Here is a 26,373-nt window from a genome sequence, read left to right as displayed (position 1 = left end):
GGGATTTAGACAAAGAATATACTCAGATGCGATAGGTCTTGGGCGGGGCCTGAGATTCTGCATTTCTAATAAGCTCAAGTTGATGCCAGTGCTGCTAGTTCATGTTCTACAGACAGATCCTTAGCCCCAATATATTTTGAAATTTCTTTTTTTATTTTGATTTTTTAAATTGACAAAAATAATATATATTTATGTTATATTACTTGATGTTTTGATATATGTATACATTGTGGAATGACTAAGTTGAGCTTATTAGCATATCTGTTACCTCACATCCTTACCACTTTTTCTGTGGTAAGATCTACTCTTTTAGCAATTTTCAGATATACAATACATTGTTATTAACTGTAGTCACTATGTCACTACAAAACAAAAGAGCACAGCTTCTGACAACCGACCTTTTCCACCCAGCCTTCTCTAACTCATGTTTCTGTAACTGCTCTCTACTCTGGCCCCTTCTGACCTAGGAGTTGTGGTGAACTTCTGCTGTTATTATCAAGAGGGGTGGTTCTACCCCTTGTGGTTTGCCTATACTCTACTAACTTCTTTGTAAATAACCTTTTAATTCAACATGCTAAAATTGCCCATTTGGAATGCAACATTGGTTTTTACTTGGGCCCTTACTGATATATCCATTTAGTCCTTCTATTCAAAGATGAGAAGAGTCCTATCTATAAGCAATCATAAGCAAAGAGGACGAAAACAACCAGTCTCCAAAAGTTACATGCATTTTAAATCCACCCCTCACAGGAGAAGCTTTCTGAATGACATACGTTTTTTTTTCTTTTGAGAGATCCACATTGTTGTTTAGAATTTTTTAAAGTCAGTAAAATTCTCATGAGAGTTATAAATCTGCCTATTTATACAGGCTTAAGAACTGGAAAATAACCAAAAGGAGTTCTACAAAACATAAATTAGTTGGAAACATTCCAGGTTAAAAGCCTATGTCCACAAAACGTAGTATTAACATCAATAACACATATCTAAAAATTAAAAGAAAAACCGTTGGTTTTGCCAGCAGTTAATTGAATTTTGTCGTTCTAGGTCAAAAAGTGAATGTACAGTCTTTGTTTATGTTTTGCTTTGAAAATTGATGATCAAGAACTATATATGATCAGGATGAAGAAGAAAAAAGCCTATATAGACAAATCTTGGAATGACCTGACAATTCTGTCAGTGTGTTTCAGTTGACTCAATTGTCAATGAAAAGATATAATGGCAACACTAATTCAGAGGACTAAGGAATCAACTTTACCTTAAGATATTACTCATGCAGGTTTCCTTATGTGAAATATTAGTAGTATCCTGTTTCTTCTGTAGGCATTTAGAAAAGTAGTAAAGCAACTCTTAAATAAAAAACAGCCTCTCTTATTATTCCATCTCTTTGACTCAGGGAGATTTCATTAATCTATTAGCTTTGTCAAGTATAACCTAGACAACAACTCAGATTCTTTCTCTGTTTTCCAGTGGAAGGCCTTTCATTGCTGGTATTTTTTTACTTTGATAATATATAATACATTAAATTGGGGGATATTTGGAATTGAATTTTGAGCAAAATTAAATGAGAAACAAAATTTTCCTAATAGCTTTTAGGTGCTATGGTAGATATTATTAGCGTTTGCCAGTATCCAGTTTTCTATTTCTTTTAGGATATACAAAAGCTTACACTTTCTTTTCCAATTGAAATTAACTGTGCCCATGGAATTAGTTCTGGTTAATAAAATACCGACAGAAATGATGTTTTTATCTTTCAAACCGAACAACTGTGCTCCACGCTTCAAATGGAAAACAGCCAAGCAGTGACATTCCAGATGGTGCAGCCCCTTCTGCTGACCTGTGTTAGGCATTTTGCTTGAACGAGAAATAAATTTTAATCAATTTGGAGTTTGTTACCTCAGTATAATTTATCTTATAACAGTGCTTATCTGATAATGGCAGGACTCTTCAATATGTTAGAAACAGTAACTGGACTTTTTGAGGAGTTGAAAATGAGAAAATAAAGCTAAAAGATCCTGATATTACAAAATTAAATTTGAAATCTAACTTTTAGGTCATAGTGATGATATAAAATAATTTTCTCTAAAGCCTTAGGATAATAGTGCATATAAGGACATTTCTGTAATATCTATTTTTAAAGGACATGACTGACCTATTATCCAATTATGAAATGTAATGCAAACACAGTCATTCCTAAAAAAAGAGGCCTTTCTTTTGGACTCAATAGCAATAAGAGCTTGGTCTCTAAAATGCTAGAGCCCAAGTTGATACGAATGGTCTTCTCATATCACTTAAAGTTAACAACGTGCTAATGTGTTATAGGAAACAACCCCATATCACTCCGATTCCCAGCAAAGTAGTGAGCCTCAGTAATTGAACTCAGCTCTCTCAAATATTGGTTCTTATCACACATATACATATATATGTGTAACTTACACTATACCAAGTTGTAAAGGGTAAAACTGAAATACTTTCTAAATTCTGGAGTTTGAGAAAGTGTTTAATTTATCTCACAAAGAAAACCATGACATCTTTTGCTATGGGAAAATTTAAAAAAAATTTTAGATCCAATCAGAGCCTAAGAAGAATTATTATATCGCTAAAGGGGAAAATAATTATTCCCATCAAAGCAGTTTAGACATTGAAACAGGCCAATGACTTCAACTGTAGAGGAAGCCACTGGACTGACAAACAGAAGACATTTGTTGGATGTGATAGTAAATTTTGTATGCCAGCTTGACTGGGTCATGGGGTGCCCAGATGTTTGGTAGATTATTCTGGGTGTGTCTTTTGAGTGTGTTTCTGGATGAGATTAGCATTTGAATCAGTAGACTGAATATAGCATACTGCCCTCCCTAATGTGGGTGGGCCTCATCCAATCAGTTGAAGGTCTGAATAGAACAAAAAGTCTAGGTAAATGGAAACTCCTCCTGCCTGACTGTTTGAGCTAAAACATTGGTCTTTCCCTAGCTTTGGACTTGAACTGAAAAAAAAAAAGTCAGCTCTTTTTGAGTCCCAAGCCTTTTGGCTTTCGAAATGGAACTGACACCACTGGCTCTCCTGGTTTTTAGGACTTCGGAATTAGAATGGAACTACACCATCAGATCTCCTGGTTCTCCAGTTTGCCAACTGCAGATCATGAGACCTCTCAGCCTCAATAATCAATTAATACAAGTTGCTATGTTTCTACAAAGCTCATTTTTTTTTTGTTTAGGCATGTTACACATTTTATTCTCCATAGTATGTTTAAGATTCAAGATGGATTAAAATCACCTAATATTAACTCTGACCCCTTTACATATACACAAAATAAAATGATAAAATACAGCAAGTAGAGTATTTAAACCAAAGCACGCTTGGGTGAGTAAGGATGAAATAACAAGCTACCTGTTTTCTCTCACTTTATAAATGCAGATATGGTTATGCTTACCTTTCTGTTAAGCTTGGCAGGTTATTTTCCATCTGGTTTTTATTATCATTTTGCCAATTATATGTTTATTGTAATATCAGGTAATGGTTAAACATTGTTAAACTAGTATATGCATCTATTTGCTACTCAATCCATAAGTCTTACAGAATAAATGTTTTTTAAAAATAATACAGTAGCACAATTACAATCAAACTAGTTAAGATAAGATGCTTTGAAATATCATTAATCTGCCATTTTGTTTTCTATTCTAATTTCATATGGAGTATGTTTATAGCAAAAAGTCTCTTAGGTGAAAATAGTGATTTTCATAACCAAATATGTTCTTCTTAGGTCCATTCATTTTCATTTTATTCTAAAAACATTGATCCTCTCTCACTTATTACTCTACTGGGCACTGTTAGGTAGAAGGAGGGTGCTTATATGAGAGTCACCGTTTGTTGAATCAAAGCATAACCTTGTATGAGGATGGAATCAACATTTATTGACCACTTATTAAGGGAAGATACTGTGCTCAGTGCTTTACATATGATATTAACTTCTCACAACAATCCTTGATTACAGGTTCTATTATTATCATTTAATAGAGGACAAATCTAAGCTTAGGGAAAGTAAACACCTTGTTGAAATCACAGAATAGGAATCTAAATATTTGTCTCTTTCCAAAGTGAATTCTCTTTCTTCCATAGTGTGTTTTATGCCTTCTGCCTGCTGTGCCAGAGCACACAGTCTCCCTTGGTAAGCTTTGCCTCTGTATCTTTCTGGGTCAGCCAGATTTCAGAAATGAGAATGCACTCTAACCTTCACCTACAAACCTTTTCAGAAGTGGAGCATTTGACTTACACAGCCCATGGCCCTATTGTGACATTTTTGTAATTTTCAAAGAGTTTCCTTAGAGTCGCACTATTTCATACTATGCTGTAAAGCAATGGCAATGTGGTCAAAGCGTTCTAATATTAGCAGCTGCCCCACATCTTTTAAACTCTCCTAACTATTCTGTGAATGTAGGTAATTACCAATATTATTACTTTTCAGATTTTAGTTCTGTATTTAGCTTGCAGATTATGATTATGAAATGTACACACTGATGAACACTTTCTTTATGTCTTAAATCTTTAAACAAATATCAGAATAGAGATTCTGCAGCGCTCTGACACCTCACACAAAGGCCCACAGTCTGTGTGGCATGTATCACACATATTTTCGGTTGTCCTTTTGGTGGTAGAGTTTTTTTCATGCAGTGCATCCCACATTTATTATCAATTCTTCTCTTGCTTGCTATTAACCAGATAATAGCAAAAACAAAGAATAAAGCAATCAAATGATGACACATGTTACTAGTAGAAAATAGGCAAAATGGTAAAATTAGGCTTGGACTTTTAAAAAGTTTTTTTTCTATATAAACTCTTTACAGAAAGATGAGGAAGAGAAAAATAGGTTAGAAGAGGGATAATTTTACAGTTTGAAGTCCATTTGTATTTTTATTCTGCCCATCTTAGTGGGTTTTTATGCACTATCCAAAGGGTCAAAACTGTGTATAAATTAAATTATGTGTGAAGGATCAGATTTTTCTACTTAATCTTCGACGAAGAATAAATCAGATATTTTCCTTTATGGAAAACCTAATTCTTTGGGAAAGAATAGTTGGACCTTGATATTTTATCTTTCCCTTTTTATTTAAATGTTTGACAAGATAAAAAGATGTGTGTCATCTCGGGGGGCTAGGGGAGGGATAGCATTAGGAGAAATACCTAATGTAGATGACGGGTTGATAGGTACAGCAAACCACCATAGCACGTGTATACCTATGTAACAAACCTGCACATTCTGCACATGTACCACAGAACTTAAAGTATAATTTAAAAAAAAAGAAAAGAAATCGTGAATACAGGATCATACTGGGAAGATATTTTGTTTTTAAAATGGTAATTTTTTTTTTTTGTTAATGGATCTACCCGATTCACATTGTCAAAGGAAAATAACAAACTGTGTGGATTTACAGCCCTAACTTGGAAAAATTATCTACATTCCTAAAGGTGAACATATAGATATTTTTTCTCAGAAGAATCACTAACTCTAATATTTGAACTAAGATATAGGTCAGTCAGTTTTTAAAATTATTAAATGCCCTTCTCAAATATGAGAGGAAAGAATTCAAATGGTATTGATGGGTGGTTTTAGCTAAGAGCAGTATCTGAAAAGAAACTGTTGAACAGAAGGTTAACATCCAGTTCTCCAACGGGGAGTTGCATTAGTTTTGTTTTGGGTTTCGGTGTTTTTTTTGTTTTGTTTTTTTGTTTTAACAAGAGGTTATTTGGGTGATCCAGTGCATGGCTGAGTCTTTGTGATTTAAGTATTTTCAAACCAGTTAGTGGACCATCTAGTATTCCTTTTCTGCCTTGTTAGTCGGTCCTTCGGCTCTCTTACTTCTTATTAGCAACAATCTCAGCTCCAGAGAGGGCAGGTGCAGAAGGGAGATGGTAGTAAAACATAAATCTCCACGAAGCTGAAGAAACACAGGTTTAAGAGAAACCTGCAGAGTTTATGACAAGCTACTCAGTCTGCCCTTATTACAGATAACTGGAAGTTATGTGAACTTCATTTTTCATAAATCTCATCAATACCATCACGTGATTACATTTTCCCCAAAGTGTCATCAAATCAACTATTACTAAGACTTTACTCCTAGAAAAGGATTCTGTTGCACTGTCTGTCCCTGCCCACATGCCCTTGCCTGGGTCTACCCTGGACACCAAAGATAGGCACAGGTTTTGCTGCATATTCTCGCCTGAGCAATTTTTTTTCTTCAGGCCTGCCTGAAGAGCCTCAACTCCACTTTTCCTTGCTCCTTGGTTGAATAATTTTGAGTTGTCCTACATAGTCTCTCAGAGGTCTCCAGTGGGATTGAGCCCCAGTTGTTTACAAGTTTAACTGTCTCACTAACATATCCTTCTGTTTTGCTTTCCTTCCTTTTCTGTCTTACTTCTCTGTTCTTTAATTATACTTCCTGTATCACTTTTCAAATAAACTTTTGCACCCATATAGTCTCAGAACTTGTTTTATTTTATTTTAATGAGAGAGACCCCAATTAAGACAGTAATCAAGAAAGTATCTTATTTTTGTATTTATTTCTATAAAATTGCCAGAAAAGGCAGATTTATAGAAATAAAAAGTAGATAAGTGGTTGTCTAAGGCTGGACATAAGAATAGAGATTAACTGTAAAATGAGTATAAGAGATCTTACTGGGGGAAGAAAATATATCCTAAAACTGATTTATAGATGATGGATTCAATAAAGTTACTAAAACTCACTGGATTGTATTGGTGAAATGGACAAATTTTATGATATATAAATATACCTCAATAAAACTGTTAAAAATGAATAGATAGTAAGATTTAGAGAGGTAAAGTACCCAAGGTGACACAAGCAAATACAAGTCAGAGGAAAGAACAGAGTTCAGGCCATTTGACTACACTGAGAAACAGCATTCTTCTGTGAACTTACGACCTTGCTTTAGCTCATTAAAAATGGAAGGTCACAAAAAAGTTTAAAATGTACCAATTAAACCAAATATGCATATATCTAAGACACTTCATGCTAAATGATTGACCTAGATTATTTTATTTAATTTCACAAGGGGCCATAAGGCAGGCATTATTATTCTTCCCTTCTTACACATGGGGAAGTGGAGCTTGAGAGAAGGTAAGTGACTTGTCAGAGATCACACAACTTACATGAGGCAGAGCAGAGATTCACCCATGGTGGTCTCATTCTGGAATGCATGCTTGTAACTACTATATTACACTGCTTCTGCGAGTAACTAGGATTTATATCTCCTCTTACCATTTAGGCATGACCAAAGAAAGAGCTCCATACCTCACTGTTGAGTTTGTTTATCTGCTGCTTGGTCTCCTCTGCTTTGATGAAGAGAACAGCAGCTCCAATCTCTGGATCTGAAAAGTGACACACATACAGAATGAGTCCTTTAGGAATAAACCTTATATTTGAGGATCGAGGCAATTAGAATATGAAAGAAAGTCCACGCTATCACTTTTAACCTTTTCTGATGTCTGTGCACTGTACTGTCTTTTAGGGATCAGGCAAGCTTTTTGTATTCCTCTGGATGGCACCAGATATACTCTCTGGACACACATCATGGTGGTGATTGCACCCACAGTGACTGGATGTGTCCATTGCAAACACCCCATTTCCCCGAGTACAGTCACCACCACGTTCCAAGATGGCACATTTTCTTTTCTTTGACCATTGTTTAAAACTGTATCATAGTCAGTGCTCAAGCCATAGAAAAGGGATATTATTTTTCTTCTCTCGTTCCATTCTAAACATTGATTCATGTGCCCATGAGCATATTTTCCTCCCACATATATATCAGATACTGATATCCACTGCAGGTTGCCTTTCTCTTCCTGCATCACTCTAAAGGGTAATTTCTCCCAGTTTTTAGTTCTTCTTCTCCACTTTTTCTCTACTTTGCTCTTCCAAATATATTTATTTCTGTCAGGGACAAGAGTACAGGTGAGTCAGTGCCAGCTTGAGTGGAAAAGATTTGACAGATAAGACCATCCTAATTCTGGTCAATTATGAGGAGAAAACTTGTTGGTGGGGGAAGAAAAGTAATTCAAAACAGTCTGAAATAGAGTAATAAGAAATTGTTTTGCAGATATATCTTGCAGAGGTAATCCATTCATTCAACGAATGATTGAAGGTCATATACAATAGGCCAGCCCTCTTTTAGAGTAGATAGCAACCAATAAAGAAAATATAGTTGACACTCATGGAGCTTAGAATTGAGCAGGAAAAATAAACATTTAAAAAGTAGGCCAGGCATGGTGGCTCATGCTTGTAATCCCAGCATTTTGTGAGGTTGAGACAGGAGGATTCCTTGAGCCCAGGAGTTCAAGACTAGCCTGGGCAACATAGGGAGATCCCATCTCTACTAAAAAAGTAAAATAACTTATATAAAGTAATTATGCAATAGGTTTGAATTTCACACTAAGGGCAATAGAAAGCCATTTTAGGGTTTTAAGCATAGGAATAGAGTAATACAAATAAATTTGAATTAATAAAATTCCCTTTGCATGGAAAACAGTGTGAGGTCAAAGAAAAGACTTTGGTAGCAATGCAAGCAAGAGATAGATATAGCTAGAGAAAGAGTGGTAGCAGTAATGGTAGAAAGTCTTAGAGGGAACTAAGAGATATTTTGGAAGTTGCTTCTAGAAAACTTGATGCTTGAATGTGTAAGCGTAGGGGTAGGTGATAGGTTAAGGAAGAGGAGGAAGCTAAGAGAGTGGTAGGACTAGAAATATGTGGATGAAATGGTGAGTTTCTGTGCACTGTCTCTAGTTGAACCAAAAAGGTAAACATCCAATTGAGGTGTCAATAGGCTTTTATTGCAAATATACCAGTTTGATGATAACTATGATTTCTTTGCTCCTTGGTCCAAGCACAGTAATATCAACATATGTAAGTCAGTTAAATCAATAAATCAAGACTGTACTCCTTATCCTTTTGCATTTTCCTCACTTCACACTCCCAATCAAGGAATTTCACAAGTATCCCTTAGTTTCCCAAGAAGATGATGAGTGCTGGAAAGAATTACTGATTCAGATGAAATGCTGGTATTCTACCAGAGAAACATCTCCAGAACTGTATATTCAAATGTCTTTCTTGGGCTTGGCTTTGTTCATAAAGGGATTTGCTAATTACCAAGACATTCTAATACAAGGATTTTAGAACTTGGTGGGAAGGGAAGGGGAGGTTGGGTGAGGATTGCTGGCCTTGCATTAGGTAGTTTGCTGGTAATTGTTTTGGATTGTCTCTGCCTATTCAACACATGTTCACTATTCTCTTTTTATCAAATACAGGTGTGTCTTCTTTAGAGTTTATTTGTCATTTTATTTGTCTTGTTGACAGAATCATTCTTACGAGCAACAAACTCAAGATTGAAAAGTAAAGAGAGGGATTTGGGCTAGAGTTGGAGGTACCTTCACATTAATTCACCATCACTAAAGGTTAACACATCACATAGTTCTCCGTCATTTCCAACATGCTTATACCTTTCCGAAGTTATTTATCATCTGGAAAACTTCAAGTATATAACCTCACACTGAATAAACTGGTTAAATATAACCAATGTTCCTTCAGTGCACAATCAACATGGCATTTCCTCTAGATAATGTTTTTATGGATTAATCTAAATTTATAATAGTAAAACATGGCCATCCTCTAATGAATAGCAGAAATTTGAGTCTCCTGGCATATCAATTACCTTCGCTGCTAAATGGTAGCTCATCCAATCTGGACAGAGAAATGATCACAAATGACATCTTAACTTGGAAATGGCATAAACTCATGTCAAATTATTCAATGGTATTGGTAAGGTTCTATGACAGGGAGAATATTCTAAGGACAGGAAAGCAAAAAAAAAAAAATGCCCATAACAAACATTACAAGTTAATAAGAAATATTTTACCTTAGGAGAAGACTAAATATAGATCTTACCTCCAAGAGGAGGAGAAATTCTGGGCTCTGATCTGATTCGTTCAGAGCCAAAATCAAAAGTCTGACTTTCTTCACTGCTGTTTCCATCTTCAATTCCATCAACAATCCTACTTAAAATAAAGGAAATTGGCTGGCTGTGGATTCATATTCATGGATTCCAGTATTTTTAAAGAGTTAAAAGATATTATGTTAAATTTCTAAATTCTAGATGCTCTAGAGCTGAGCTATTCAATATAGTAACCATTAGCCTTATATTGCTATTGAGTACTTGAAATGTGGTTTGTGCAAATTGAGATGTGCCGTAAGAATTAAATACACACTGGATTTTGAAGAATATGGTTAAAAAATGTAAATTATTTCACTGAGTATTTTTATATTGTTCAAATTTAAAATAATATTTGGAACATATTCAGTCAAATAAAATATATTATTAAAATTAATTTCACTTTTATCACGCTTAAAAATGTAGCTGTTTGTTAGATAATTTAAAAGTATATATGTAGCTCACAATTTTATATCACATTATATTTTTTATCACACACTACTGTTGTAGACAGAGGCTCTTTTACTTATTCTCAGATTCAAAACTTTAAGGTATGGTACAAAAGTCCTCTGACCTAAATTCATGTTAAATCACTACTCTCCAGGTTTTAACCCTTAGCATCACAGAAAATAAATTTGATTACACCTCTACTCTAGACTTAGAGAAAACTCTAAATGTCAGAGTTAAATAATTATATTTAAATCAGTATTTAGTCTTCTTTTCATGGTAAATAGTATCTAACCCACTCATTATTTAAAAAAAAAAAGTCTATTGTAGAAAATTTAAACATAAAGGTAACAAAAAAACAAAATAAAAATCACCTGTAATCTACTACTATAGTCAAGATTTTGATGTATGTCCTCAAAATATTATTTTCTCTATAAAGAACATATATTCTTTTTATAAATGTAAGATTATGTTGTATATAAACCTTTCTCAGCTCCAATACAGTCTCTTCCTATTTATAATTTATTATGTTTAATTTTAGTATAAACTTAGGAAGAAGAGTTAAGCAATATTTTCAAATTACCATCTCCAACTGAATTCTTGAAAATATATCATCCGCCTACTTTTTGCTAAACCTATTTTATCTTTTCCTTAATATTTTATCTTAATGAATAAGAATGTTGTTCAAATAAATAATAAAAATATAGTATTTGAGAAAGACCACTTGCTTTATAAGTAGAAAAACAAACTTTGAATCCACCTTTCAATACTTAATATCTCTGAGATCTTCGACAAAATATTTACCCTTCGAGTTTCACTTCTTGCAACTTTATAATAGAGATAACACAAACTACTTTATAGGGTTCTGAGAAGATTAAATGCAATTGTGAATGTGAAATTATCTCGCAAAATACATGAAACATAAAAAGTAATACATATTTTTTTCATGCTTTTATTTATTATTATTCAGCTGTTATGTGATTTTGATGATGGCTATTGCTTTTCTACACCATGGCCTACCCCTGAACATCTTCGGAATCAGGATTTTTCACGCTTTCAATCACCTTTAGTGGATTCTAAAGTGATTTTTAAGAAATGAAAAATGGAACCATGCTGTGTTACTTATTGAAGAGACCAGAAATAAAACTAAGTTTTAGCCGTCCTTGATAATAAGGCAAGAATAGTATGAAAAATAAAAATCTGCATTTCATTTTCTTCCTAATTTCAACTCATTGCTTATGAAACTTTTGGTAAGATCAAGCATTGAGGGGATAACATTGATGGAGTTTGTTCCATTTCTTTTATTTTCACTATAAATCATAAAATCACAAGGTAGGAATATACATTTAACATAATAGGTAGTGCAAAATGAATAAAAGGAGTAAAGAAGGATTTCTGAACATTTAGTATTTTGAGAACATATTTTGCCCATCCTGCATGCACACACACACTTGCACATAAACTCAAAAAATTGCCCACAAAACTCAGAAAAGCTGAGGATTCCAGGCTAGGAATCTGTGGAGTAGAAAGGCTCAGAAGGCTGAAGGCAGGTACTACTCTGTATAAAAGGCAGCCACGTTCACGTGAGAAAGTTATATGATATGAACTCTTACCTTGGACTGAGGTCTGGGGGTCCAGCATTATTCAAAGTTGAAAGTTGCAATTTCAAGTTCTTCTCTTTCCTTTTATTATGGTTGGGGGGGTCAATTTCCTGCTTGGTTTTGGGGGAATTTGACCTGGAGACTCTGATAGGCGAGTGAAAGGGCACCGTTCCCGAGGCCAGTTGCTTTAAGCTTAAGCCCAGGTAGGCTTTATTGCTTCCAACCTTCTTGTTGCGCGAAGAAGATCCCCTTGTGCAGATGGGAGAGAGGGAGACTGCCTCCTCTTCCTCCCCCTCCTCCTCCTCTTCCTCATCTTCCACAATGGATGGGAGTCGCTTGTTGATGTTGCCATTTCCCTTGGGCTCTGACTAAATCAGTGGATAATATAAATTAGTACAGACTGCAAAAACCGCAGAAAAGGTATATCATTAATGCTGGAGGTCTCATTAGAACAAAGTCAAATCTCTTAGAGACTTACTTTTCATTAAAACTGAAGTCTTTGCAGATTTTGTTATTATTTTATCAGGTGTTAAAGGTCTTCCCACTTCTGCTCTTCTCCAGGTTTACTCTCTATGCTTTCTTGATTTTTAGCCCCTGATTTTAACCTTTCTCTTGGTCTTTTAAACTGTCTTCATGGGGAGCCACGTGAAAGGTGCATTATACCAGGTTTGCAACTAGATTTTAATCAGCCTGTCATTTGTAATAGTATATGATGGCATGCTCTTAGAAATAAAGACATTTTCCATTTTAATGGAGGGTCTTAGGCCTTGTTATTTAAAATTACAGGGTCTTTACTGGAACTTTACATGGAGATTAACCAGCAAAATTGCATTATTCTTGAGAATAAAAAGCTTTCCTATTTTGGATCACATGAATGGAAGAAGATCAGAAGTATTCTCAGCTACTCTACTTCCTGCTCTCCTTGTTCTTTCCAGTCACTAGCAAGAAAAGAAGCAAACCACCTGGTCTGCTTCCTTTGAAAAGCCTTGGAAAAGGAAGGAAAAATAGTCTTGCCAAAACCCATCCTGTAACTACTGGACTCTTGACTGGGATCATTCAACTGTGTAGACTAAGAAGAGGAAAGAAAGAGTGTGGGAAAAGACAATTGAGGTGATGATGGAAGGGCCAGGGCAGTGAACGCAGCAAAGGCTAACTAGTGGCCCTCAACAGAGTCACTGTAATAGTGTGTGCTTCTGGCTTTGCCCCAGACATGGCTTCTCTGCTCACTTTTCTGTGCTTCTGTCTTTTTTGAAAATTGAATCCCTTATATCTGATCATCAATAATTTATAATAAAAATAAGGCAAAGAACTGAAAATCCCTAAGATTACTATTCAGACTCTGGGCTGTCATGGTTATTGACTTAAATGAATAGTTGTTTTTTTTGGTGTATATGGATTTTGGTGTATACGGATTTTTTGGTGTATATGGTGTATATATTACAGGTATAATAACAGATCTAACATTGCAGTGACTTATAGGCAATAGCCCGTTCAGTTTAGGCCATAGGTGCTGAGTGAAATGCATAGTTTACTTATGAAGTTCTTGTACTTTAATCTTATTGGCTCAAAATTTCTTGAAGAAATGGCATTCTTAGACTCATCTTTCCAAATACGTATGGTTATTTTAATTAATGACGAGGGCATACTTTTTTTTTGCTGGGATAGTCATGATGTTACTCTTGTTTGTTTTTCACAGCGTTTAAAACTCTGTGTTTTTAACAAAAATTGGGCCTACACGGAATTACAGGGGAACATTTGTATACTAGCATCGTTGGATAGAAAAATCAGTTTACCCAGCTAAAGACACAACAGGGCAAACTTAATCTAAGAAATGAGAAACAATGAGCGCATTCTCTAATTAGAATTCTGTTTACATTTGCATTGGCAAGTTAATCATTCCTTTGTTTCAAGAAGCCTCTATTGGCTCTAATTGAATTCTCTAATAACCTGTCAAGTATTTGTACTTCTACAAGTTTGTGGAAATTTCATACTTCCATTTTGTCATGGAGACTTGGTGTCTTGGACAAGTTGCTTAGATATTGACTCACAATCAGGGCAGCCGACATTACAAACTATCACAATCAGAAAACCAAACACCACATGTTCTCACTCATACATGCGAGTTGAACAATGAGAACACATGGACACAGGGAGGGGAACATCACACACTGGTGCCTGTGGGGGGTGGGGGGCTAGGGGAGGGATAACATTAGGAGAAATACCTAATGTAGGTGACAGGTTGATGGGTGCAGCAAACCACCAGGGCACATGTATACCTATGTAACAAAACTGAACATTCTGCACATGTAACCCAGAACTTAAAGTATAATTAAAATAAAAAGTAAACCCTATTTGACCCTTCTCCACCATCATCTTCAGTAAATTCTTAATGTCTTCATAATGCATTAGGTAATTTAATCTATTTGCGTGCCTCTGTGTCACAGGATTATTGGTAATAAAAGTCCAGCTAATAATCTTAACAAATTAGTTTTTTCGGGAAACTTTTCTTGAAATTAATTAGAGAGTTCTTAAAAGTTGAAACTGTTTTAAGAGCTGACTGAATCATAAAACATGGTTCCAGAATATCTCTCAACCATATTTTTAGCATTATGGACACTTACAAGAAAAAATTTGACTGCCAATTTTAAATGCAATGAAAGTACTTTTAAGATTAACACCTTAGGACTTTACATTTGGCATGTTTTGGTAACAAACTGCTTTATAACAATAACTATAAAATGCTCCCATAGAACTATGAGTTTCAATTCTCCTCTATACTCAAACTCAAGCAAGTCAGTTGCCACATCTCTTATTGGGAAGTCAAGTAGGGAAAGTAAAAGATAAATACATGAAATTCTGAAGAGAAAGACAAGACAGATTTATTGGTAATCCTCCAGATTTTAGATAAATATTTTGCTGTGTAGCAAAAGCCATACCTGTGAGACCATAGATTTGTTTGATAGTCTTGATATCACCTGAAAGAACAAACAGAAGTATTAATCATTTTACATATCCTGGTGGTTTGGGACTGGGTGAAATGCAGCAGGCAGAGGAAAGAGAAGTATGTACAGAGTTTGTGGGAGGGAAGGAGCACAGGAAGGGGTGTGGATCTACCTGTGCAGGCCAGAGAAGAGAAAACACCTTCTACAATGTGCCAAAAACAACTGCCTCATCCTATCCTCTAGGACCACTACTGATCAGTGTGTGTAATGAGAAAAGGAGCACCAAGTTGAATGTCTACCACAGGATACCACACCTAAAAAATAATGATCACAATAGTGGGCTTATTGGCTGTATTTTCCATCTTGATGCTTCATTCTCTCTCCTTTTTTTTTTCCTCTATCTCCCTATTCTTCTTTCTTGCTATTTTGCTAAATTTGCTCATCTTCCTCGATTTTTCTTTCTGGCTCTGTGGAAATAGAAATCTATGAAATCATTTCTTATTTAATCTCATTACTTCTATTTATTCACTTCTCTTTTTGCCTGAACGCTCATAGGCATGAGCTATCCTTTCTGTTCCACTTGTTTTCCACTATCTCACTGTGGTAATCCCTGTGGACAAGGTTTCAGTTTACTGGGAATCCTAATCCCCTAATTGAATCAAATATTCCACTGATCACAAAAAAAGAAGAAAAACTGCTGCCAATCAGTGTTGATATACCATCAATTGTAAGACAGATTTAAATTTCAGAGATACTAAAATGTGGGGAAAAATATATATCTTATTCACTTAGGCTTGAATCTCAGGACACATTTTGTATAAAATCAAACTATGGCACTATAGAGGAATATCTTAAAAACATGCACCTACCATGATTATAAAGAAGCTCTGGAAATTATGACATGTCCTGGAAACATGCTTCTGATATTATCTACATTGTTTTTTGCTCAAATACACTTCTTTCATTTTAATGTGGTAATAGATGCTGTTAATTAACATGATTTTATTCACATGAAAAAAAATTTGTACTTGAAAATGATCTGCCTAGTAAGCCAGACAAATTTGGTAATTCTGTCACCCTTTCCTCATTTTTTTCCCTAGATGATTAGGGAAATAGATCTGTTATATTTATACAAATGCCAGGATCATTATTGCTGTGCAAATATATGTTTCATCAGTGTTTAATTTTATGATAGCAGTCAACCGATTCTACATCTGCTTAGCCGCCTTAATATGCCTTAACCAGATGCATTTTAGACATAAGTTTTGTAATAATTCCCTAAATGGTGACAAATAAAACAGCTGAATAATTAAAAATGTGAAAAATAAAACAAAATTATGGTGTTCTTGCTACTGTGGTAGACATGAAAACATGTTTGTAAAAAGCCTTTCATTTATAGCTTGGATTACAGAAGAACATGACAATGGGATTCAGGAAGGCTGAACACCTCCAATCACAGATACCGTTAGAGATATAAGAGAAAGATGCTGGCCTTAGCATCTTCTGATTTGAGTATGCTTCTAGTTGTGTGGTTTACCACTAGATGAGTTCTGTCAAGTTGCTGAATCCCAGAGTCATTTTTCTATACTAGTGCTTTTCAAACATGTATGTGCACATGAATTACTTAGGGATCTCATTAAAATGCAGATTCTGACATGGGAGGTCTGAGGTGGGGCCTGAAATTCCTAATTTCTAGTTAGCTCCCAGGTAATACTGGTGCTGCTGGCCCTGGAGACACATTTTGAGTAGTAAGAGCTCATGACCAACATCACAGTTATTATCATCCTATTTCCTATCAATTATTTATCCATCATGTGATAAGCACCCTGATAAGTGTTTCCCAGACATTATGCCCATTAATTCCCACTGTGATCCTATAATATAGGTATTTTTAGTCTCTATTCTGCAGAAGAGGAAACAAAAGGACCAAATTAGAGTTAAGTGATTTGGTGATGGCTGCAAAGTAATAACTGACTAAGCAGAGAAATGAACACCAGATTGGCTGTTATTAAGGTTAAATGCAATACTATATTTAAGTGTTTGGCATGCAATATATTTTTCTTCCTCCTACTTTTTGATACCTTTGATTACCTAAGGTAACCTTATCTCATCTTTTACCAAATGTACTGACGGTCAAGAGTCAAGCAGAATAAGCCTAGTACCAAAATCTGGCATAGACACAGTGAAAACAGAAAACTTCAGGCCAATATCCCTGATGAATATAGACATAAAAATCCTCAACAAAATACTAGCAAAATGAATCCAGCAGCACATCAAAAAGTTCATACAGCATGATCAAGTAGGCTTTATTCCTGGGATGCAAGGCTGGTTTGACATACAAAATTCAAAAAATGTGATTCACCACATAAACAGAATTAAAAGCAAAACCCGAATGATCATCTCAATAGATGCAAATAAAATCAACTTCCCTTCATGATAATAACCCAGATTAGTCATCAGAGGAATATACCCGAAAATAGTAAGAGCCATCTTTTGGGAAGGTAGCAGCTCCGTGTTTTCCTGGGACAGTGCTCCCACAGAGGCAAGCCGCCATTTTTGCTGTCTTGCAGCCCTTGCCCCTCCCTGTTGCCTTCAGGCTTCCAGAAGGTACGTGGTGACAAGGGACTGGTGCAGATCCCCAGCACAATGCAGCTGCCCTGTGGAAAAAGCAGCCAGACCTTTTTCCACCCAGGTCTCCGATCCTGTTTCTCCTTACTGGGAGGCCCTTGTGACCTGGGACTCCAACACAACTACCCTGTCCCCACCTGAACATGTCAGTTGGAGGTGGCTCTGCAGTTCTCTGAGCAGGAACTCCCAGAGAAAACCCACAATCCCTCTGCCATTGCAGCTGCAATGGTACTGCCCTAATCGCTGTGGGGCTGGGGATGGAACAAAGGGCCTAGTCACTATGCTGGCACCTTCAGCACACTACACACCATAAGGAGAGGAATCCAGACCCTCTTCCCTGTGAGCCCAGGCCCCCCACTCTTCATGAGGCAGGGCTTCTGGCTCCGGACCACAGATCAGCCTCCTCATCATAGCTGAGCACACCCACTGATACTGGCTCTGAGGTTCCCTGGTGGGGGCTCCCAGAGGCAATCAACAGCCTCTCCGTCATTGCCACAGCAGTGGTTCTGCTCCTGCTGCCCTTGCTATAGGGAAGAAACAGTCTAAGGGCTTCACCTGTGCTCCAAGCACACCACAGCCACCATACAGAGAGGAGCTCAGTCTCTCCTCCCTGTAAGCTCTTGAACCTCCATTCTTCACCAAGCAGGGCCCCCAGCTCAGGCCAGCAGTGCGTTTGTCTCATCCCCTGGCTGAACATTTCCAGTGGCAGGGGCGCTGTGTTTCTCTGAGGCAGAGGTCCCAGAGACAATTGAAGGCCCACTCCCATGGCCACTGCAGAGTGGTACTGCTCTTGCTGCCCTCGGACTGGGGAAGGCAAAAAGACCATGAGTGCTTTAACCACACTTCTAGGAAGCTGCAGTTGCCCTAAGGAAAGAGGCCAGTCTGTCTACTCTGTGACCTATGTACCCTCCCTGCTTGTTATCAGGTAGGGTGCCCCCAGCTTGGGTCCCCAGTGCAGCCACCCCAACCTTGGCTGATTATACTGATTGGTAGCAACTCTGCATTTCTCTGGAGTGGAGCCCCCAGAGACGAGAGAAAGGCCCTCTGTCACAGTCACTGCTAAGGTCCCTGGCCTTGCTGTCTCCAAGCTAAGGAGGCCACATAAAGCCTGAGCTCACTCCAGAATTGCAGTGTGCAGCCCAGGAGAGCCAAACCGAGATCTGCAGCCAGCCCTCAAGTGGGAGAGGAGCCCACACTGTCAGAGCACTGAGAGGGAGCATAGCTGCAATCATGAGGAAATACAGAGGAGCCACATGGTCAAGCAAGTGCCTACCTACTGGCCATTTCACTTAAGCACCACCTATTGAATCACAGCACAAACTTCAACAGCAAAAATACTTTTGGTAATATACTCCTCTGTGAAACCAAAGACAAGAGCTCAGCTAAAAATAAAGGCCCTGCACAAAGCCTTGGCCCTCTGAAAACATCCAGAAATGAAACCTACTGATTATACCCAAATTACACCACAGTTAAAGGAACACCAGCCCACACAGATGAGAAAGAACCAGCGTAAGAACTCTGGGAGCTCAAAAAGCCAGAGTGGCCTCTTTCCTCCAAACAACCACACTAGTTCCCCAGCAAGGGTTCCTAACTGGGTTGAAATCGCTGAAATGCCAGAAATAGAATTCAGAATATGGATGGGAACATAGACAATCGAGATTCAGGAGAAAGTCAGTACCCAGTACAAGGAATCTAATGAGTACCATAAAATGATTCAGGAGCTGATGGATGAAATAGCCATTATAAAACAGAAGCAAATAGCTGAAAAACACACTACAAGAATTTTACAATGCAACCTCAATTATTAAGAGCAGAATAAACCAAGCTGAGGAAAGAATCTCAGAGTTCGAAAACTGGCTCACTGAAATAACTCAGTAAAACAGAAAATACATAAAAAAGAATAAAAAAGAATGAACAAAACCTCTGAGAAATATGAGGTTATGTAAACAGACCAAAATCTATGAATCACTGGGGTCCCTGAAAGAGCTAGGGAGAAAGCAAGCAACCTGGAAAATATATCTCAGAATATCATCCATGCAAACCTTCCCATCCTCTCTAGACAGGCCAACATTCAAGTTCAGAAAATGCAGAGAACTCCAGTGAAATACTAAAGAGAAAGACATCCCCAAGACACATAATCATCAGATTTTCCAAGGTTGAAATGTAAGAAAAAATGTTAAAGGCAGCTAGAGAGAAGGGATAGGTCACCTACAAAGGGAACCCCATGAGGTTAACAGCAGACCTTTCAGTAGAAACTCGACAAGCCAGGAGAAATTGTGGGCCTATATCAACATTCTTTTTTAAAAAAAACTTTATCTTAAGTTCAGGGGTACATGTGCACGTTTATTATGTAGGTAAACTTGTGTCACGGGGGTTTGATGTACAGATTATTTCATTCCCCATGTACTAAGCCTAGTACCTATTATATTTTCTGATCCTCTCCCTCCTCCAACCCTTCACCCTCTGGTAGGTCTCAGTATCTGTTGTTCCCCTCTTGGTGTCCATGTGTTTTCATCATTTAGTTCCCACTTATAAGTGAGAAAATGTGGCATTTGGTTTTCTGTTCCTACATTAGTTTGCTTAGGATAATGGCCTCCAGCTCCATCCATGTTCATTTAGAGAACATGATCTCATTCTCTTTTACAGCGGTGTAGTATTCCATGGTGTGTGTGTGTGTGTGTGTATCTATATATACATATATAGAGATTGTGTGTGTATATATATAGTGTATATATATACACATACATATATATTATATGAATGTGAGAGAGATATATATATGTGTATATATATATATATATCTCACATTTTCTTTTATCTAGTCTATTATCAGTGGGCTTGTAGATTGATTCCATGTCTTTGCTATTGTGAATAGTGCTGTAATGAACATATGTGTGCATGTGTCTTTATGGTAGAACAATGTATATTCATTTGGGTATATACCCAATAATGTGATTGTTGAGTTGAATGGTAGTTCTGTTTTTAGCTCTTTGAGGAATTGACACACTGCTTTCCACAACAGTTGAACTAATTTACACTCCCACCAACAGTGCATTCTTCCTTTTTCTCTGCAATCTTTCCAGCATCTGTTATTTTCTGACTTTTTAATAATAGACATTCTAACTGGTGTGAGATGGTATCTCATGGTTTTGATTTGCATTTCTCTAATGATCAGTGATATTGAGCTTTTTTTCATATGACTGTTGGCCACTTGTAGGTCTTTTTTTGAAAAGTGTCTGTTCATGGCCTTTACCCACTTTTTAGTGGAGTTGTTTGTGTTTTGCTTGTAAATGTGTTTAAGTTCTTTATGGATGCTGAATATTAGACCTTTGTTAGATGCAAGGTTTGCAAAAATTTTCTACCACTCTGTAGGCTGTTTGTTGATAGTGTCTTTTGTTGTGCAGAAGCTTTTTACTTTAATTAGATCCCACTCATTAATTTTTGCTTTTGTTGCAATTGCTTTCAGCATCTTTGTCATGAAATCTTTGCCAGGTCCTATGTCCAGAATGGTATTTGCCAAGGTTGTCTTCCAGGGTTTTTACACTTGTGGGTTTTACATGTCTTTAATCCATCTTGAGTTGACTTTTATATATGGTGAAAGAAAGGGGTCCAGTTCCAATCTTCTGCATATGGCTAGCCAGTTATCCCAGAACTATTTATTGAATAAGGAGTCCTTTCCCCATTGCTGGTTTTTGTCAGCTTTGTTGAAGATCAGATGGTTGTAGATGTGTGGCCTTATTTCTGGACTCTCAATTCTGTTCCATTGACTTATGTGTCTCTTTTTGTACAGTATCCCAGCATTCTTAAAGAAAGTAATTTTCTTTATTATTATTATTATTATTATACTTTAAGTTTTAGGGTACCTGTGCACAATGTGCAGGTTAGTTACATATGTATACGTGTGCCATGCTGGTGCGCTGCACCCACTAACTCGTCATCTAGCATTAGGTATATCTCCTAATGCTATCCCTCCCCCCTCCCCCTACCCCACAATAGTCCCCAGAGTGTGATGTTCCCCTTCCTGTGTCCATGTGTTCTCATTGTTCAATTCCCACCTATGAGTGAGAATATGCGGTGTTTGGTTTTTTGTTCTTGAGATAGTTTACTGAGAATGATGATTTCCAATTTAATCCATGTCCCTACAAAGGACGTGAACTCATCATTTTTTATGGCTGCATAGTATTCCATGGTGTATATGTGCCACATTTTCTTAATCCAGTCTATCATTGGTGGATATTTGGGTTGGTTCCAAGTCTTTGCTATTGTGGATAATGCTGCAATAAACATACGTGTGCATGTGTCTTTATAGCAGCATGATTTATAGTCCTTTGGGTATATATCCAGTAATGGGATGGCTGGGTCAAATGGTATTTCTAGTTCTAGACCCCTGAGGAATCGCCACACTGACTTCCACAATGGTTGAACTAGGTTGCAGTCCCACCAACAGTGTAAAAGTGTTCCTATTTCTCCACATCCTCTCCAGCACCTGTTGTTTCCTGACTTTTTAATGATTGCCATTCTAACTGGTGTGAAATGGTATCTCATTGTGGTTTTGATTTGCATTTCTCTGATGGCCAGTGATGGTGAGCATTTTTTCATGTGTTTTTTGGCTGCATAAATGTCTTCTTTTGAGAAGTGTCTGTTCATGTCCTTTGCCCACTTTTTGATGGGGTTGTTTGTTTTTTTCTTGTAAATTTGTTTGAGTTCATTGTAGATTCTGGATATTAGCCCTTTGTCAGATGAGTACGTTGCGAAAATTTTCTCCCATTTTGTAGGTTGCCTGTTCACTCTGATGGTAGTTTCTTTTGCTGTGCAGAAGCTCTTTAGTTTAGTTAGATCCCATTTGTCAATTCTGGCTTTTGTTGCCATTGCTTTTGGTGTTTTAGACATGAAGTCCTTGCCCATGCCTATGTCCTGAATGGTAATGCCTAGGTTTTCTTCTAGGGTTTTTATGGTTTTAGGTCTAACGTTTAAGTCTTTAATCCATCTTGAATTGATTTTTGTATAAGGTGTAAGGAAGGGATCCAGTTTCAGCTTTCTACATATGGCTAGCCAGTTTTCCCAGCACCATTTATTAAATAGGGAATCCTTTCCCCATTGCTTGTTTTTCTGAGGTTTGTCAAAGATCAGATAGTTGTAGATATGTGGCGTTATTTCTGAGGGCTCTGTTCTGTTCCATTGATCTATATCTATCTCTGTTTTGGTACCAGTATCATGCTATTTTGGTTACTGTAGCCTTGTAGTATAGTTTGAAGTCAGGTAGTGTGATGCCTCCAGCTTTGTTCTTTTGGCTCAGGATTGACTTGGCGATGCGGGCTCTTTTTCGGTTCCATATGAACTTTAAAGTAGTTTTTTCCAATTCTGTGAAGAAAGTCATTGGTAGCTTGATGGGGATGGCATTGAATCTGTAAATTACCTTGGGCAGTATGGCCATTTTCACAATATTGATTCTTCCTACCCATGAGCATGGAATGTTCTTCCATTTGTTTGTATCCTCTTTTATTTCATTGAGCAGTGGTTTGTAGTTCTCCTTGAAGAGGCCCTTCACATCCCTTGTAAGTTGGATTCCTAGGTATTTTATTCTCTTTGAAGCAATTGTGAATGGGAGTTCACTCATGATTTGGCTCTCTGTTTGTCTGTTGTTGGTGTATAAGAATGCTTGTGATTTTTGTACATTGATTTTGTATCCTGAGACTTTGCTGAAGTTGCTTATCAGCTTAAGGAGATTTTGGGCTGAGACAATGGGGTTTTCTAGATATACAATCATGTCATCTGCAAACAGAGACAATTTGACTTCCTCTTTTCCTAATTGAATACCCTTTATTTCCTTCTCCTAATTGCCCTGGCCAGAACTTCCAACACTATATTGAATAGGAGTGGTGAGAGAGGGCATCCCTGTCTTGTGCCAGTTTTCAAAGGGAATGCTTCCAGTTTTTGCCCATTCAGTATGATATTGGCTGTGGGTTTGTCATAGATAGCTCTTATTATTTTGAGATACGTCACATCAATACCTAATTTATTGAGAGTTTTTAGCATGAAGGTTGTTGAATTTTGTCAAGGGCCTTTTCTGCATCTATTGAGATAATCATGTGGTTTTTGTCTTTGGTTCTGTTTATATGCTGGATTACATTTATTGATTTGCGTATGTTGAACCAGCCTTGCATCCCAGGGATGAAGCCCACTTGATCATGGTGGATAACGTTTTTGATGTGCTGCTGGATTCGGTTTGCCAGTATTTTATTGAGGATTTTTGCATCAGTGTTAATCAGGGATATTGGTCTAAAATTCTCTTTTTTGGTTGTGTCTCTGCCCGGCTTTGGTATCAGGATGATGCTGGCCTCATAAAATGAGTTAGGGAGGATTCCCTCTTTTTCTGTTGATTGGAATAGTTTCAGAAGGAATGGTACCAGTTCCTCCTTGCACCTCTGGTAGAATTCGGCTGTGAATCCATCTGGTCTGGACTCTTTTTCGTTGGTAAGCTATTGATTATTGCCACAATTTCAGCTCCTGTTATTGGTCTATTCAGAGATTCAACTTCTTCCTGGTTTAGTCTTGGGAGAGTGTATGTGTCGAGGAATTTATCCATTTTTTCTAGATTTTGCAGTTTATTTGCATAGAGGTGTTTGTAGTATTCTCTGATGGTAGTTTGTATTTCTGTGGGATCGGTGGTGATATCCCCTTTATCATTTTTTATTGTGTCTATTTGATTCTTCTCTCTTTTTTTCTTTATTAGTCTTGCTAGTGGTCTGTCAATTTTGTTGATCCTTTCAAAAAACCAGCTCCTGGATTTGTTAAATTTTTGAAGGGTTTTTTGTGTCTCTATTTCCTTCAGTTCTGCTCTGATCTTAGTTATTTCTTGCCTTCTGCTAGCTTTTGAATGTGTTTGCTCTTTTCTAGATCTTTTAATTGTCATGTTAGGGTGTCAATTTTGGATCTTTCCTGCTTTCTCTTGTGGGCATTTAGTGCTATAAATTTCCCTCTACACACAACTTTGAATGTGTCCCAGAGATTCTGGTATGTTGTGTCTTTGTTCTCGTTGGTTTCAAAGAACATCTTTATTTGTGTCTTCATTTCGTTATGTACCCAGTAGTCATTGAGGAGCAGGTTGTTCAGTTCCATGTAGTTGAGCGGTTTTGAGTGAGATTCTTAATCCTGAATTCTAGTTTGATTGCACTATGGTCTGAGAGATAGTTTGTTATAATTTCTGTTCTTTTACATTTGCTGAGGAAAGCTTTACTTCCAAGTACGTGGTCAATTTTGGAATAGGTGTGGTGCTGAAAAAAATGTATATTCTGTTGATTTGGGGTGGAGAGTTCTGTAGATGTCTATTAGGTCCGCTTGGTGCAGAGCTGAGTTCAATTCCTGGGTATCCTTGTTGATTTTCTGTCTCATTGATCTGTCTAATGTTGACAGTGGGGTGTTAAAGTCTCCCATTATTACTGTGTGGGAGTCTAAGTCTCTTTGTAGGTCACTCAGGACTTGCTTTATGATTCTGGGTGCTCTTGTATTGGGTGCATATATATTTAGGATAGTTAGCTCTTGTTGAATTGATCCCTTTACCATTAAGTAATGGCGTTCTTTGTCTCTTTTGATCTTTGTTGGTTTAAAGTCTGTTTTATCAGAGACTAGGATTGCAACCCCTGCCTTTTTTTGTTTTCCATTTGCTTAGTAGATCTTCCTCCGTCCTTTAATTTGAGCCTATGTGTGTCTCTGCCTGTGAGATGGGTTTCCTGAATACAGCACACTGATGGGTCTTGACTCTTCATCCAATTTGCCAGTCTGTGTCTTTTAATTGGAGCATTTAGTCCATTTACATTTAAAGTTAATATTGTTATGTGTGAATTTGATCCTGTCATTATGATGTTAGCTGGTTATTTTGCTCGTTAGTTGATGCAGTTTCTTCCTAGTCTTGATGGTCTTTACTTTTTGGCATGATTTTGCAGCGGCTGGTACCGGTTGTTTCTTTCCATGTTTAGCGCTTCCTTCAGGAGCTCTTTTAGGGCAGGCCTGGTGGTGACAAAAATCTCTGAGCATTTGCTTGTCTGTAAAGGATTTTATTTATCCTTCACTTATGAAGCTTAGTTTGGCTGGATATGAAATTCTGGGTTGAAAATTCTTTTCCTTAAGAATGTTGAATATTGGCCCCCACTCTCTTCTGGCCTGTAGAGTTTCTGCCGAGAGATCTGCTGTTAGTCTGCTGTTACCCTTTGAGGGTAACCCGACCTTTCTGTCTGGCTGCCCTTAACATTTTTTCCTTCATTTCAACTTTGGTGAATCTGACAATTATGTGTCTTGGAGTTGCTCTTCTCAAGGAGTATCTTTGTGGTGTTCTCTGTATTTCCTGAATCTGAATGTTGGCCTGCCTTGCTAGATTGGGGAAGTTCTCCTGGATAATATCCTGCAGAGTGTTTTCCAACTTGGTTCCATTCTCCTTGTGACTTTCAGGTACATCAATCAGACGTAGATTTGGTCTTTTCACAGAGTCCCATATTTCTTGGAGGCTTTGCTCGTTTCTTTTTATTCTTTTTTCTCTAAACTTCCCTTCTCGCTTCATTTCATTCATTTCATCTTCTATCGCTGATACCCTTTCTTCCAGTTGATCGCATTGGCTCCTGAGGCTTCTGCATTCCTCACGTAGTTCTCGAGCCTTGGTTTTCAGCTCCATCAGCTCCTTTAAGCACTTCTCTGTATTGGTTATTCTAGTTATACATTCTTCTAAATTTTTTTCAAAGTTCTCAACTTCTTTTCCTTTGATTTGAATGTCC

General features: G+C 37.2%; 1 protein-coding gene across 5 annotated transcripts in view; it reads right to left on the bottom strand.

Annotated features, from left to right (window-relative positions):
• Positions 1–26,373, bottom strand: part of KCNH8 (potassium voltage-gated channel subfamily H member 8) — a 387,133-nt gene that overhangs the window by 10,267 nt on the left and 350,493 nt on the right. For 4 of the 5 annotated variants that reach the window (XM_017005698.3, XM_017005700.3, XM_017005699.2 and 1 more), the window contains 4 exons: positions 14,975–15,013; positions 12,051–12,406; positions 9,948–10,057; positions 7,302–7,378 (listed from right to left, as the gene is read on the bottom strand). In XM_017005698.3, coding sequence (XP_016861187.1) covers positions 7,302–7,378; positions 9,948–10,057; positions 12,051–12,406; positions 14,975–15,013 — 582 coding nt within the window. The remainder of the gene's footprint in view (positions 1–7,301; positions 7,379–9,947; positions 10,058–12,050; positions 12,407–14,974; positions 15,014–26,373) is intronic. The other variant, NM_144633.3, reaches the window with a different exon arrangement.

Source organism: Homo sapiens, chromosome 3 (assembly GCF_000001405.40).
Source record: "Homo sapiens chromosome 3, GRCh38.p14 Primary Assembly".
Classification (NCBI taxonomy): domain Eukaryota; kingdom Metazoa; phylum Chordata; class Mammalia; order Primates; family Hominidae; genus Homo; species Homo sapiens.
Note: the sequence above shows the minus strand (reverse complement) of the source record. Positions and strands in the feature narration are given on the sequence as shown.